Source organism: Homo sapiens, chromosome X, assembly GCF_000001405.40.
Source record: "Homo sapiens chromosome X, GRCh38.p14 Primary Assembly".
In the NCBI taxonomy this organism is placed as follows: domain Eukaryota; kingdom Metazoa; phylum Chordata; class Mammalia; order Primates; family Hominidae; genus Homo; species Homo sapiens.
Window position 1 is genome coordinate 20502241 of NC_000023.11, and position 15918 is coordinate 20518158.

Below are 15918 nucleotides of genomic sequence, written 5' to 3' on the forward strand. Positions count from 1 at the left end.
CCCATTGTGCTATCGAATAGTAGGTCTTATTCTTACTGTTTTTTGTACCCATTAATCATCCCACCTCCCCTCAGCCCACCCAGTACCCTTCCCAGCCACTGGTAACTGTCCTTCTACTTTCCATGTCCATGAGTTCAACTGATTTGATTTTTAGATCCCACAAATAAGTGAGAATATGCGATGTTTGTCTTTCTGTGCCTGGCTTATTTCACTTAACATAATGATCTCCATTAACTTAAATTTTGTAATTGTTGACCAACATCTCCCAAATCCTCTTCCCCATCACCTCCCCAGACCCTGGTAACCACTTTTCTACTTTCTGCTTCTGGGAGTTTCACTTTTTAGATTCCACATATGAGTGAGATTATGCGGTATTTGTCTTTCTGTGACTGGCTTATTTCATTTAACATACGGTCCTCCAGGTTCATCCATGTTGTTGAGAATGACAGGATTTCCTTCTTTTAAAAGGCTGAATGGTATTTCATTTTGTATATATACACTACATTTTCTTTATCCATTCATTCGTTGATGAATCCTTATTTGATTCCATATCTTGGCTATTGTGAATAGTGCTGCAATAAACACGGGAGTGCAGGCATTTCTTTGAAATACTGATTTCATTTCCTTGGCATTCATTTCCTTCAATTCCTGAGGTAGGACTGCTGGATCTCCAGGCAGGTCAAAAGAACTGGATCCAGTAGTTCCAGTAGCTGGAACTACTGCTGGTAGTTCTATTTTTAATTTTTTGAGGAATCTCTATACTGTTTTCCACAAAGATTGTACTAATTTACATTCCCATCAATAGTGTGCAAGGGTTTCCTTTTCTCCACATCCCCATCAAATCTTGTGGTCTTTCGTCTTTTTGATAATTTTGTCTTTTGATTCCACAACAGGTGTGAGGTGACATCTCTCACTGTGGTTTTAATTTGCATTTCTCTGATGATTAATGACATTGAGCATTTTTTATGTAACTGTTGGTTATTTGTATGTTTTCTTTTGAAAAATGTCTGTTCAGATCCTTTGCCCATTTTTTAATTGTGTTATTTGTTTTCTTGCTATTGAGTTGTTTGAGCTCCTTATATATCTTGGATATTAACCACGTATCAGATGTATGGCTGGCAAATGTTTTCTCCCATTCTGTAGGTTGTCTCTTCATTCTGTTGATAATTTCCTTTGCACAGAAGCTTGTTAGTTTGATGTAATCCCATTTGTCTATTTTTACTTTTGTTGTTTGTACTTTTGGGGTCATATCCAAAAAATCATTGCCAAGACCAATATAGAGCTTTTCCTCAACTTCTAATAGTTTTATAGTTACAGGTTTTACATATAAGACTTTAATCTATTCTGAGTTGATTTTTGTATATGGTGTGAGACAAGGGTCCAATTTTATTCTCCTGCATATGGATATCCAGTTTTCCCAAAGCCATTTATTGAAGAGACTGTCCTTTCCCCATCGTGTGTTCTTGGCATCTTTGTTGAAATTCACCTGGCTTTTTAGTGTTCTTGTATTTCATATGCTTATCATGTCAGTAGGACCAAGATAATAAAATTTGTATATTCTGTGAAGCTGGAAGTGTTAGCTAATCATTAGCAGATTCAGGATCCAGAAAAAGTTTAAATGATTAATGCTTTTAACTACTAAAATTAAATTCAACAAGGATAAATGGGAAGCATTGGGTGTAAGTATGAAGAAACAACTGACCAAGTTCAGGATGAAGGAAATATGACTTAGAACCATATGTGTAAAAAACTTGATATTTTTTCAGTGAGTAATAGCTTCAATGTTAGTTGACAGTCATACCACCAAAGAAACCATGCTTATTTGGGACTGCATTAATAAATGTTATATATATATATGAAAAAAGTAATATTTCTTCTCTACCCAGTTTTTGTTGAAGTGTATGTAGAGTACTGAGTGGAATTCTAAAACAACATAAACTGAACTACCTACAAATAAAAGAGGCCAAGATGGTGGTTATTCAGGACTGTGTTATATGAAGACAGGTTGAAAGAACTGAAGATATTTTTTTTGGTATAAAGAACTTATGGTGTTGGGGGGGTATGGTTATAACTGTCTTCAGAAATATGAAGAACTATCCCACATAAAAGAAATTAGACTTATTGTAGACTCTGAGGGCTAGAATCATGGTTTGAGAGAAGCTACCAGAAGACAGAAGAGATAACACTCCAACTACTAGAGTGGTCTAAAGGTAAATATGTTTTCCTCAGGAGACACTGAATTTTTGGTTATTAGAGGTGTGCAAATATGGATCCACTGACCTGGAACGTTACCTCACCAGTATAATGAGTGTAATGATACCAGTATACGTAGACTGAGGATAATGTGGGTGAACATACCTCTATTAAAGTAGTTGTACCATTTCACTAGGCTTATTGATTGACATGTCTATCTTAATTAGCTAAAGAATGCCTTAAAATCAAGGACTACATCAATTCATCTTTTTTTTCTGTAACATCAACCATGGTATCTGGCTCATGAAGGCATTTTTCATAAATGTTTTTGAATGACTAGAGATAACAGATATAAGAGTACTTTAGAAATAAATACAGCACAACCCTAATACAATATACTATTAATTGTTAATATTAATAATTTCTTCCTAAACGGCCTGTCAATTCAGGTTGCCTATATTCATAATTATAACAAAAATTTATACATGCCATATGGTTTTACTGGTGAGTTCTTTCTTTCTAGTAAGAAACATATAATTTTCATGCCATATGAACTGTTCAAGAACAGAATAAAACTTCCCATTCACTTTTATCGTCAAACTTATTTTATGAAGTTAGCATTAAAGTGATACTAAAACCTGACAAAAAACTCAAAAACAAAAATTATGGTCTAATCTCAGTATGAATATAATGCAATAAAATAATATAGTATCAAATCAAATTTAATAGAATATTAAAAGAATAACTCACCAAGTGGCATCATCCCAGGGATATAAGAATAATATAATATTAGCAAATATATTAATATAATGTATCATATCAGGATGACAAATAAGAAAAACCACATGATTACTGTAATAGATGCTGAAAGGAAGTTGATAATTCAATAGCCATCTCTATAAACCTATAAATAGCCATCTTTATAAAACTATAAGTAGTTTTATAAAAGGAAAGAAAAACTGGCATAGTAATAATAACAGTATTAATCTCAAAATGGTAGTAAATAGACAATTAATTGTGATACACCAAAATAATTATTATTTAACATTGTTTTAGAAGTTCTGGAAAACCAAAACTCAAACAAAACTCCCAAACAACAAAAACAGAAGGGCTGGAATAGAAACAGATATGAAAGAAAGGAAGAAAAGAATCAACAAAAATTGTTAAAATTAATGAGATTTCAGAGTAGTGGCTGCGTAAAAAAAAGTACAAAAATAAGTAGATTTACTCTATAACAGAAATAACCAGATAGAACAGATTACGGATCAAAAGAACCAATTTGAAATAGGAACAAGAACATAAATACTAACATAATCTTAATAAGAAAAGTTTAGAGATCTGCGTGAGATGGAAAACAAGAGACCAATAAATTGAGAGACCATGATATGTTCATTCTTCCCTAATATTTAAATTTTATGTAATTACAATATATACATTGGAATTATTTTTTGTAACTTGATACAATGATTCTAAAGTTCATATGGAATAGTAAATAGATGAAAATAGATAAGAAAATATTGGGATAAAAAAGAATTAGGGTACTGTTACTTCGACAGATGTTAACAAAGCTGCAATAATTAAAACATTGTGATCCATTAGAAAAGGAGATATATAACAATGGAGACAATAACTCACTAAATAAAAATTGGGGCCGGGCGCGGTGGCTCACGCCTGTAATCCCAGCACTTTGGGAGGCCGAGACGGGTGGATCATGAGGTCAGGAGATCGAGACCATCCTGGCTAACAAGGTGAAACCCCGTCTCTACTAAAAATACAAAAAATTAGCCGGGCGCGGTGGCGGGCGCCTGTAGTCCCAGCTACTCGGGAGGCTGAGGCAGGAGAATGGCGTGAACCCGGGAAGCGGAGCTTGCAGTGAGCCGAGATTGCGCCACTGCAGTCCGCAGTCCGGCCTGGGCGACAGAGCGAGACTCCGTCTCAAAAAAAAAAAAAAAAAAAAAAAAAAAAAAAAATTGGCCAACAGGGACTGCAATTGGGGGAGTGAGGAAATCAGTTTCATGTCATACTTTACTGGATTAAAAAGAATGTAATGCAGAAATACAAATCATAAGACACTAGAAGAAAAGATAGGTGAATATTTACCTGGTCTCAGGGTAGGAAAATACTTTCAAAGCTCAAATGTAACAGAAATAATCTCAATGAGAGAAAAGTTAGATTTGACTTCATAAGGCATTTAAACTGTTGTGTGTCAAAAATTATGAGAAATGGAAAGGACAAATGGCAAGATGGGAATTTTTTCCACAAATATAATAAAGACCTGCCAGTAATTTTTAAATACAATAGCAAGAAATACCACAAGAACCAGTAAGTTGTGTGAATAGTTGTTTACAAATAGGAAAGATAAATGCTCAACAAATAGGTGAAAAAAAATTTACTCTCACTGGAAATCAAGATAATGAAAATGGAACTGACAAGTGCAATTTCTCTTATAGATTTAACAAGTTTCTAAAAGGATGAAAATACTCATTGCTAGCAGGGGTGTGGTGGATGACAGTATTGCATTCTCTTGGTATGAGTGTGAATTGGTACAGCCTTTCTGGAAAGCAAGATACATTAAAACCTTAAAATGTTATTGTCCTTTCCAAAAGGGATTCCTCTTCTGTAAAGAATCTAAGAAGCAGATAAAGAGTTAGATATAGAGCTATTGACTTCAACATCTGTTATAGGAGTAAAGAAAGGAAGCAATACAAATGTTCGATAACAAGGGAAGGGTTAAAGCGAATTTTGGTAATCCACATGTCAGGACCATTATCTAGCTTTTAAAATGGATTTATAAAGTTTTTTAATGACATGGGGAAATGCTTATAATGTTAAAAGCAAGATGCAAAATTGTACACACTCATATATATGCATGTACATATGCATGCACATATACACACAGTATTTTCTCAAACATCTTAAAAATATGTTGACAATTAGGCAAAAGGAGATGCCCACAGTGTCAATTCTGCATGGTGGAATTATGGAGAATGTGACTGTAATCTTTATACTTTTCCATATTTTCCAAAATCCTTATGAGTTTCTCTTATTACCAGAAAAAATAATTTCCAAATAAAAATTATTCTTAAAGTGACGACCCAAAAAAGCTGTCAAAAAGGAAAAGAGATAATCATAATGTATCAAGGTTTCTTCAGACCTTCTGATAGGTTCATTTTGAACATGTTGCATCTAAGATGCCAGTAGAAAGCTTGGAAGGACACCCAGTTGGCAAATGGACAGACTGGTCTAGAACTTAGAGGTACAATATGGGTTGTAAGTGCAGAGACATCAGCATATATATGTTAGCTAAAGTCACTAGTGCTACAACTTCAGCTAGTTTAGCCCCTCTGATTCCCAGTTTCCTCCTCAATAAAATAGGAATGATAATGGTACCTTGAGGGCTGTTGTAGGGATTAAATGAGCTAATATCGGTAAAACACTTGACCTAGTACATAAATGTTAGCTATTGTCATTGTTAATTTTATTACCGTTGATGAGAGTAACCCAGGGATAATGATTAAGTTGAGGAGAGAACAGGGGTTGTTGTAACATTCTATGCACATCAGCCCAACTTCCAGTCATTGGTGTGTGACTCTTTGCCTGAGGGCAGGCTAGATGTATCAGGTAATTAATGTAGCTCTATTCCACTTCCAGGAGCAGCCTTTGACCAATGACTAATGGATTGGTGGATAAATACTTCAGCTCTCTTGATCCACAAGCAAGATAATTCTGAGGCTTGTGTTCTGCAGTGGGACTATGCTCCAGTTGCCCACAGTGGTAACTGGCATGATATCACACCTTTTATTGGCTGCCTTCCCTTCCCAATCTTACTTCCCCATCCTCCTACTGGGATCATCTTTCCAGCAAATAATTTGCATGTAAATCTTTGTCCCAGGGCCTGCTTCTGGGAGAACCAAAATTAAGACAGCCAAGGATGAAACCTGTTCTGTAATAACATTCAAGGGATGGTTGGCAAAAGAGAAGCCCATGACGGAACTAGAGAAGGAATAGAGAGAGGTAGCAAAAAGCTGTGGTCTAAAAACCCAAAGTAAAGGACAGTTTCCTGAATGAGGTAGGAGGAAACAACATCAAATGCTATGGAGATGAGATGCAAAAAGAACTGGAAAGTGTCCATCTGAGTTGGCATCTATGAGGTGCTAGGTGACCTCTGCCAGCAGATTTTTGGTTTAGTGGTAGAAGATGCCAGATGGTAGTGGGTTGAGGAAGTGAATGGGAGGTAAAATCGTGGAGGCAGCAAATACTCATTTAGGAAGTCTGGCTGTGAAGGGAATGAGAGAGAGAAAAAGAGACAGAGAGAGGGAGAAAGGAAGAGAGAGATGGTGGGGGGAGAGGGAGAGAGGGAGAAAGAGAGAGAGAGAGAAGGGAGAAAGAGACTTGGCTAGTTTGATGATGAGAGAAAAATAACCAGTTGAAACGTGATTGAAAAACCATATCCTTCTTGGTATAATGCTTCAACCACTACCATATTCCAAGAGTTTCCCAATATTCTCATCTTCATCAACGCCCTTTTATTGAACACCTGCTGTCTGCGAAGCACTGCTAAAGTATTGAGAAAACAAAGTATAAGACACTTCCTGATCTCAAGGAGCTTATACTCTAGTAGGGGAGGTGAGGCATGAAAAGGTTATTAGAAATATAAGATGGGATATAATGATGATAAAATGAGAGGTACCATTAATGAGTACTTTAGTGATTACAAGATTTAAAAAATTTATGTAGCCATCATTTCACTGTGTATATGTGTATCAAAACATCATGTTGTATATCTTAAATATATACAATAAAAATAAATAAAATAAGTACTTTAGCAGTTCAAAGGCAGGATGGGACAGGTCGGGAAAGCTCATGGGTTCGGAGTGTAGGAGTACTGAGACATAGGTGCAGACTATGTCCAGCTCAAAGACTTAGAGAGATAGAGGGGAAGTCATGAGCCCAGATGATTTGGCAGACAAACTCACTTGGGGAGAAGGGTTCAAAGGGAGGAATTTAAGAGAGAGGTAGAAGTTGGTAGCAAACAGGTCTGGAAGGGGTTTGAATGCTGAACTAAATTTAAAAGCTTGGATTTCATTTAGCAGGCAAAAAGGAGCCATTTGGAGTTTGTGAACAGAGTGCAAAGCAGTATCTTGGAGAAAGTAATTTGAAAAGGGTGTGCAGCATGGTTTGGAAAAGAAGAAAACAAAGGCAGGAGGGCTAGCTGAAGAGGGAGGAGAATGAAGCATGGACTAGGCTAGGGGAGGATGAAAAGAAAGGACAGAGGAAGGGACTTTTTGATATTATGTATATTAAGTTTGTCTCATTTCATCTTTCAGATTATAACCTACTTGTGCTATGCCTTGGTCATAACTGGAGCCTGTATCACGCCTCAAAAAAGTTCTACTACGTAACTGTTACTGAATGATTAAGTGAATGAAGTAACAGATGAATACATGAATGCACATCAAATGAATGGGCATTACCAAAGATGAGCCACCAAGTGGATCTTGGAGGAAAAAGAACTTTTAATCAAAGGATTAAAAGTTTCTAAGTGTGGTTGATTAGGGAAGATCATAGCATTGTTGATTGAACTGCCTGGCACCTAATAAGTACTCAGTGAGTGTAATCTTACATATGTATGCTAGTGAAAAGAGACAAATCTGGAAGGCACCAAAAGCCCACTTCACCCTTTTGGTAGTTTAGCAGAGAGCTAGCCCAGCAGGTCTGTGTTAACTCAACAGGTGCCAGTTACTAAGTTCCAGAAGCTCTTTCTTTCTAACTGGGCCACTTCCTCAAACATCAACCTTTTATTGTTACATAGTTCCTAAGAATCCCTTATTCCCCATTTTCTACAAATATGTCGGGTATAATGGGAGATAACATCTCTCTCTTGGAACCCTGTGTGTCTAGCCCAGCCATGCCTGGCTTAAGTACACCTCTCTTTGAGAGTGACGGATTGTGTGCACTCTCTACTTCTCTCGTGTAAGTTTTCCCCTCCAGAAAACCTTATTATGTATTTTACATCATGTGGTCTTAGTGTGTGAGGGACTGAAATATTCAACATATATCATAGTTAACACAACACACTTACAGTTGAGAATTTAGAGGGGGGATGTTATGAGGGAAATTTTAATTTTAGATGTGATCCAGAGAGCTATCATCTGTAAAAATGAACATCAATTTGATAGATATTATAAAATGCTATCTAAATAATTTGTAGACACTTAAATCTTTTTAATAGAAATTCCACAAAACTTTTTTAATGGAAAATACTCATTAAACATGAACTTCAGATCAAATCAACTGATACCTCTTTATTGAGTGCAAGCTCGTGATTGGCACTGTTTCGTAGCTAATAAATGCAGAAGGAATGACAGAACTAAAAAGTATCAATTTACACATTCTAATGAAATAGTAGACCTAAAAAAACCCAAAAATCAGTAGATATTAAAATCATTAGGTCTGAGGTTACCAATATTGGCTGCTCATTGGAATCAGCTGGGGGTTTTAAAAAATGCTAATGCCCATATCTTACCCCAGTGATTCTGATTTAAGTGATAAATGTGGCCATGGTGCTGTGATTTTTTAAAATCTGCACAGGTGATTCTAATGTGTAGTCAAGGTTAGTGAAAGGTCAGTGAAGTCCATAATGGAGGAATTAAGCTAAATTCAATCTTAGAATCTTCACAAGTGGGCAATCAGAAATTACACATCTCACAAAGGGATGAAATTGGATGCTCCAGCATCACCTAGGAAGTCTTCTTTCCTAAAAAACATTGAACCTACATCTAATCAAGTGTCTAAGTATAGCCAGTAATTTATATGAAGTAGCCTGATAGAAATAATAAATAACATAATGCAATACACAAACCACTGTTGTATAGAAATTATACAGGAGATAAAGGAACGATTTATATGACACTGAAAGGAAGCAATCAGCCAAATCTCAAATGTGAGACAAGGCCAAAAAACCTGGTTTCTCCGTTAATGACATATTAAATAAATGAAAGGAAGGTGGGGGCTGTTAAAGAATAAAAGAGCCTTAAGAAACACAATAACCAAATGCAATGTGTAGGTCTTGTTGGATCCTATGCCAGATATCTTCTTTTTTCTCCTCTAGGTTTTCTCTCTACACTTCTCCCTAGTCTGAGAAGCTGACCAGTATGGACTGTGCCTTCAGGCTTTCTTGCCCTCTGGCTTTTGGTTGAATTTGGCCAATGGGAAGCCCCAGCAGGAAATCAGAAAGAGAGGCGAGAGAGGATTCTCTGAGTATTGATTCCCCTGGCTTCCTCCCTGTGTGATCACTTTGGCTGGCTGGATACCTCAATGGAAAGACACTGTTCTTCTGGAGGAGGCCTTCTCTGTAGACTCTTTCCTTCCAGTTTCAGCAACCTTGATCTGCTCCTTCTGACTCCTTCACATCTAGGGGTGGTAACAGCTCTGTTGTCACTAGCCAAGTGTCACTGCACTATTCTCTGTGATTCCCCCACATCCCACCCATGCTTTTGTAAATAGTCTCTTTATACATAAACGCTCCTCGAATTATTCTGAGAATACTGTTTCCTGCTGAGTCATCGGACCAAATTATTTCTCCTTTGAGACAATGGAGAAATTTTGAACATGAAGTAAACATTATAAGCTATTAAGGAGTTATTGTTGATTTTATCGGGTGCGATAATGGTGTAATTGTTATATAAAAATAATCCTTACCAGTTAGAGATACACACTTAAGTATTTATTGGAATGACATGTCTAGGAATTATTTAAAAAAAATAGTGCATTTAAGAGCTGGGTGCCAGGTGAGAAATAACAGAAAAGTAGGGGAATAGATTATCAAATATTACCAAGATTATCAAATATTATCAAGATTATAGAAACGTTGATAGTTAAAGCAGAGTGATGGGTATAGGAGGGTTCATTACACTATTTTCTCAATTGTGTGCAAGATGGAAAATTTCTATAATAAAATGTTAGAACAACCAATCTCTTATTTTTTTTTCTTAGATGAGATTTAGTTTGCAATTTTTCATGAGAGAGATAGGTACACAAGATCTGAATTTACCGCAAATAAAAATTTTAAGGGTGTGTTTAAAGTGTGGCAATGTATATATCTTTCTACATGCTATTCTTTCTTGCAGAGAAAAATTGATGAGGAAAGTGCATAAGTAAACTGGATGTAACTTTTTTCTCTTTAGATATTCAGGTGGTCACTCAATTAACTCAATCAATCTGCCTGTGGGCACCTGCTGAGGGAGGGTGGAGACAGTCTGGGGCGAGGAAGAGAGGGGCCATGAAAGGTTAAATGTGCTAGGCCTAGAGTTTCTGTCGTCTGCATCTTTTGCGCTATTCAGAGTCAGTCTGCACCCTCAATGAGTGAACTGTTATTGCTTAGAGCTTTCTTTTTGTATTTTTTTTTTTAGTTTTTGGTAATAAATCCTAATAATGGAGCAAATTATGCATGAAATTGTCCATTATTTATAATTACTTCAGGAGATTTAGTTGCTCCTGGGGCAGTTTAGGAAGCAAACATTACAATTCCTTCTGCAATAAATTTTGCCTAACCAAAGGAAGTATGGTACTGGATTGGTTCTGCTTCAGTAGCATTTTTGCTTCTCAAACACCATAGATAAGAGAATTTTGTAGATATTCGAGAAGAATGAAAGAATACAAATTGAAAGACATACATATCTTGCCACCAAAATAGTCTTCCTTTTATTTGAAGCAAGTAGCTTACAAAAATAAGGAAAATCTGTGTGCAAAGAATTCAACTGCGTGCTCAAAAATAAAATCAAAATAAAAGTCAAAGTGTAATGCCTGTTGGATTAATAAAGTTTCTTTGTTTTCTTATAATAATACAAGTTGGCAGAGCTCCACCTACATTAAAGTATTTCCTGGCATAACATTCTTCATTTTGGTTCCCCTTCCCCCACCCCACTTTGGTAAGCTTGTCTTACTGACATTTCTGTTAATTGATGGCTGCTAGACATAACCACAAGGCAGACAGATTAGGAAAGAAAAGTTGAAGATTGTTTATAAAACGGGAAAATCCTGCCTTTTAAGTTGTAGTATTAGCCCAGGAATCTCAATTCACCAAGATAAAAATTGAAGGTACTGCAGTTATGATACAAGTCGTAGTAAATGGTGACAATAGGATCAATATTGGGGAAAACAATTAAGTTGATTCAAGGGTATTGTAAAGCATTCTTACTCTCCTAGAATGAATCTAAAAGAAAGCCTATCTTTAAGTTATTCCTGTACTAAATATCATTTTCAAATGTTGACTAGAAAGTGAGACTTGGTAATATGGACTTTTGCATTTGGTGAAGTTAGTAGCATAAAAGTTAAGAGCAGAGACTTTGGAGTTAGCTTGCTTGGATTAAAAATGTGACTTCCATGACTCAATAACTATATTATTGTTGGTGAGTTACTAGAGCTCTCTGAAATGCTGACTAAACTTCTTCATCTGAAAAACAGGGATGATAATAGGGTTTCTGGGAGAATTCAACAAAATAAATAACTTAGACCATCATTTGACACATGATGTGTTAAAAATATAAACTATGAGGTGATGATGACATGACTTCTGATCCTCATGAAGGTACACAATACAAAAAGAGTTCGAACAAATTGTTTTAAAGAAATGCCTACTTAGTTGTTTGTTGTTCAGAGGTTAAAACTATTGTTTTGTTTGTGGAACAAGTTGAGAAATAGGTTAAGTAGCCAACAAACCAACAGAACAAAAGAGACCAATCAGAACTGTCAATATGTTAAAACTAACAACAGTTCTGAAGGCTGATCTCATGAGAAGATCTGTTTCTCTCTCTAAAAGAAAATGGTCGATAGCACTGATTTTGAAGTTTTTTGGCATCAAGACTTGTGGAATCTCATCTGTTCAGTTAGTCATTAATTGGGACCAGCAGCTAATTTGAAATTGAGGTTTAATACCAAACATGATGGACATTCAGGCTGAATCTGAATCAGGAATGAAGTCATCAATCACAGTGACTTTGAATGTCCTGCTGTCATTATTAAACTCGAAAGAGGATTAACATTGAGTCAAATTACACTAAGATATAAATGTCAACACCAAATGCATCCTGATTCACATTAATTTTCCAGCTCTACATTCACTCTGCCTTTCCACATTGGGACCAAGCCATGATTCATAGGCAGCCCACTGATGAGTCATCTTCTGCTTATGTTTGGATGGGTCAGAATGCCCTGAGTGGGTTGATGAGGAGGAGGCAGAGAGGCCAAGGCTGTGACATAGCACAAGCCCAGGGGCTAGGATCTAAGTCCCAGGACCCAGGAGAGGGACCTGCCACACAATGTCTCTGGTTCTCAGAGGACTGAACTTCCAATGGACTCAACTCTCCCTGAATGAGGCTTCCATGATGACTACAGAATGTATCAGAGTCCTTGGGCAGAGAAAAATACAACTTCAGACCTAGAGGAATAGTCTTCTCCTCCCTAGATGGTCCTGGTTCTTGATATTGCAGACAGAGAATTACAGAACAAAGAGCACCCAAGACACCATAGCTGAAAGTCCCAACTAGGTGATAAACCCCACCTGGTGCTAAAAACCATCCAAACAAGCACTCAAACTAATATACAGGTCCTCTGATAATGATTCCAGTTGTTGCCTCAGATCCCAGCTTGAAATTCCACCTTTCATCTTCCTTTCCCCTTGATCTCCTCATTATCATACTCTAGTCCATCCTACCTCTGCCCAGTGGCCCTGTTCTCTACAGTGATCTCCCTTTCTGCCTATTTTAATGGTGAACACCCCCAAGTTCTACTGCTAGCTCATCATCTGACTCTATACCAGGCCAACCTCTCTCTAACATCTATTCATATTGAGAGGCTCTTGGCTGATGAGAATTTGCCATTCCTCCTTGGGTCATACACCTAGGTTAAACCAGTCACCTTCATAGAAAATTGAGACAAGAGGAACATCCTGAACCTCTACTGAATCAGGCAAGAGAGAGTGCTTGCTATACTGGATTCAGGATTCAAATAAAGATCAAGATATTACAATACCTGGCTTTAAGAAACTGAACTCTGAAAAGAGAAAGTTTTTACAGCCTCTAGTTTGAATGGTCTTTGCAGTCATGGTTCAAGTTTTTCAGTTTCTAAAGGCCATGTACAAATGTCTGGGACTTTCGGGACTTCTTCATATTCCATCCCCTGTACCAGCACCCAGTAGAGCATCCAGCCCACAACAGGTAGTTGGTAAATTATTTTTTTGATGCAACATAAATAATCTATCCTTGAGAAAATAGTTGTATAATATCTTTTCCGTTATAGAAACTAGACCAGCCATGAATTATATGTATTTACAGATCACTGGCCCAGAAAAGCTCAGGTCAATAACTTGTTGCAGTATTATGAGAGTTAACTACTGCTGCATCACAAACCACCTCAAATGTTGGTGGTTTAAAACAGCAATGACTTATTATTGCTCACAAGTCTATGGTTGGCTGGGATGGGCTGATCTAGGCTGGGCTCTGCTGGGGAGGCTCAGCTTCATGGGTTGCACCCCAGGCATGTTCCTAGAAGATGGCAGAGCCACAGGATGGCAAGAAGAAGCAGGCAAACTTCACACTGGCACCCTGACACTTTTGACCACATTCGTTTGACCAAAGGAAGTGACACAACTTAGCTCAAAGACAAGGAGTGGCAAAATACACTCTGCCTTTATGGAGGAAACTCCAAAGTCACATAACAAAGGGTGTAATACAGGGAGGGGTGAAAAATTCAAGCTGATCATGCACTTTATCACAAATACAATTTCTGAGAATGTGGGCAATTTGATTATAGAGGAGGGCTTTGTTGATGTTAAAATAATGAGCTCTGGATGACATTGGTTGCAAGGTACTCACTTCCTCCAAATGCTTACTCATTTGGTTCTTACTACTTCTAGGAGGGTCACAGTGGTTGAAACTAAAATTAGCTGTGTTCAAGTAAATGTGACTCATAAGAGAGCAATGAGGAAGCTGGTTTCATATGGCATTCCCTCCCTTCCCACCCTCACACACTAGGTAATACAAAAGAAAGTAGCTTACTTGTCCAGAGATGGGTTTATCTTGAAATCCCTAACTTCATGCAAGTTCCAACCAGTAAATTAACTGCAGTGGCTTTTCTATAGATAATTTGTTTAATCAGAAACCCAGGATAATAAAAATCTTTGAAGTATTTTTAATGATCTTTTCCTAGTTGAACTAAGTCAGTGTCCCTCATGGTCACCCAAATTAACAATACAAGTTTATGTTTCTTGGTATTGAATCTACAATTCTGATATACAAGAATCTTTACTGAAGCACGCAACAAAATGCAGAGAAAGCTCTCTCCACAGAGTTTTTGTGGTTGGTATTTTCAATTTCATAAGAAGATAAAATGTGAAGCAAACTCTAATTAAAGTATCTTCAGAAACATATTGTTTTGGCTTTGGCAATTATATAGCTACCTTGCTTCTGATGGCAATTAGAATTTTATATATACCAAAAAAAAAAAAAAACAATTTTCTCCCAGTGCTCTAATTTGAAAGCTCTGTGCTCCATGTGAAACAAGCAAAAGGTGGTCTATGTTGATTAATTAGGGGTTAGGATATTCAGAAATACTACAAAGAAAATTATCAGGGTGACTTTTCTGTAAGAAGCAAGTTTATAAACCTCTTGCCTAATTTGTACACACAACAGAAAAAGCACTTTAGCTCCACTGTACCCGTGTTCTTCCCTTGAGAAGGATGCTTCTGCAATAGCACGCAAATTTCAGGTAATAGTAAAAGATCATCAGAATCATCCTTTAGCAGAAAAACAAGCCAAAATACCCACCCACTCAGTTTCTCCCAGAGCGCTTTACTTCAGGAAGATAAACATGACTGCAATAAGAAATTGATGCAATAAAGAACGTACTTATGTTACATTTACAGCCATATCCAGGGAGACAGCTAATGGCACTCTAAAAATGGTCATTTTGTCAGAGCTTTAGTGTCGATTATTGATTACACACAGGAAACAGTGGCTTCAAATACCCAGTGACAGCACAAACAGCACCTGGTTAGGTCCTGTGCACGAACATGGTACACAGATGACATTTGGTACACAGATATACTTGGTTTATTTGATTAAAACTCCTGGTATCAGCAGGGAGAATTGTAACTAATCAGCTCTTTATTTTTTTAGTTCAATATCTAAAAATCGATTTCCATGAGTGTATCCATAAGGGATGAAGAAAACACTGATCAAAATTCACAAGAGGTCTTATACAGCCTGGTGGAGATACAGAAAGAATGCTGGGCTGAGTCAGAGCACAGCTGGTAACAATAGCTAGCATTTAATTAATACATCTCATGGTGCCTGGTACTGTGCCAGGTGTTCTGTGAGCATTAATCTATTTCATCCTTTGAACAGCCCTATAATGTGGATGCTGTTGTCATCCCCATCTTGCAGATGGGGCTGAGAGAGATGTTTAGAAATTGGTTCAGTCTCACAGCTAGCAGATGGCAATACCAGCATCCACCTTCAGACCCAACCCTTCTCCATTGCACCGCAGGGTCAAAATGTGCTGGACTCGAGTTTCCCTGTTTTGCTAACTTGAAGTGCATCCTCGAACAAATCCCTTTCCTTCTGTGGGCCTCTGTATTTTCATACAAAATTGAAGTAGTTGGACTAAATCAGTGGTTTGCAACCTTGGCTGAAAACTAAGATCACTTGGAGTGCTTTTATAAGGCAA

The 15918-nt window shown here is 37.1% G+C and overlaps 2 annotated features.

The window, feature by feature from the left end:
* Nucleotides 11696-12895: an enhancer, noted in NCBI's record as "P300/CBP strongly-dependent group 1 enhancer chrX:20532054-20533253 (GRCh37/hg19 assembly coordinates)". NCBI's record gives its function as "activates an origin of replication core promoter dependent on BRD2, BRD4, P300/CBP, MED14 and CDK7 cofactors, with strong dependence on P300/CBP, by STARR-seq in HCT116 cells {active_cell/tissue: HCT116}" and the evidence as "EXISTENCE:reporter gene assay evidence [ECO:0000049][PMID:35650434]".
* Nucleotides 14113-14262: a silencer, noted in NCBI's record as "silent region_20698". NCBI's record gives its function as "represses an Ori minimal core promoter by ATAC-STARR-seq in GM12878 lymphoblastoid cells {active_cell/tissue: GM12878}" and the evidence as "EXISTENCE:reporter gene assay evidence [ECO:0000049][PMID:35858748]".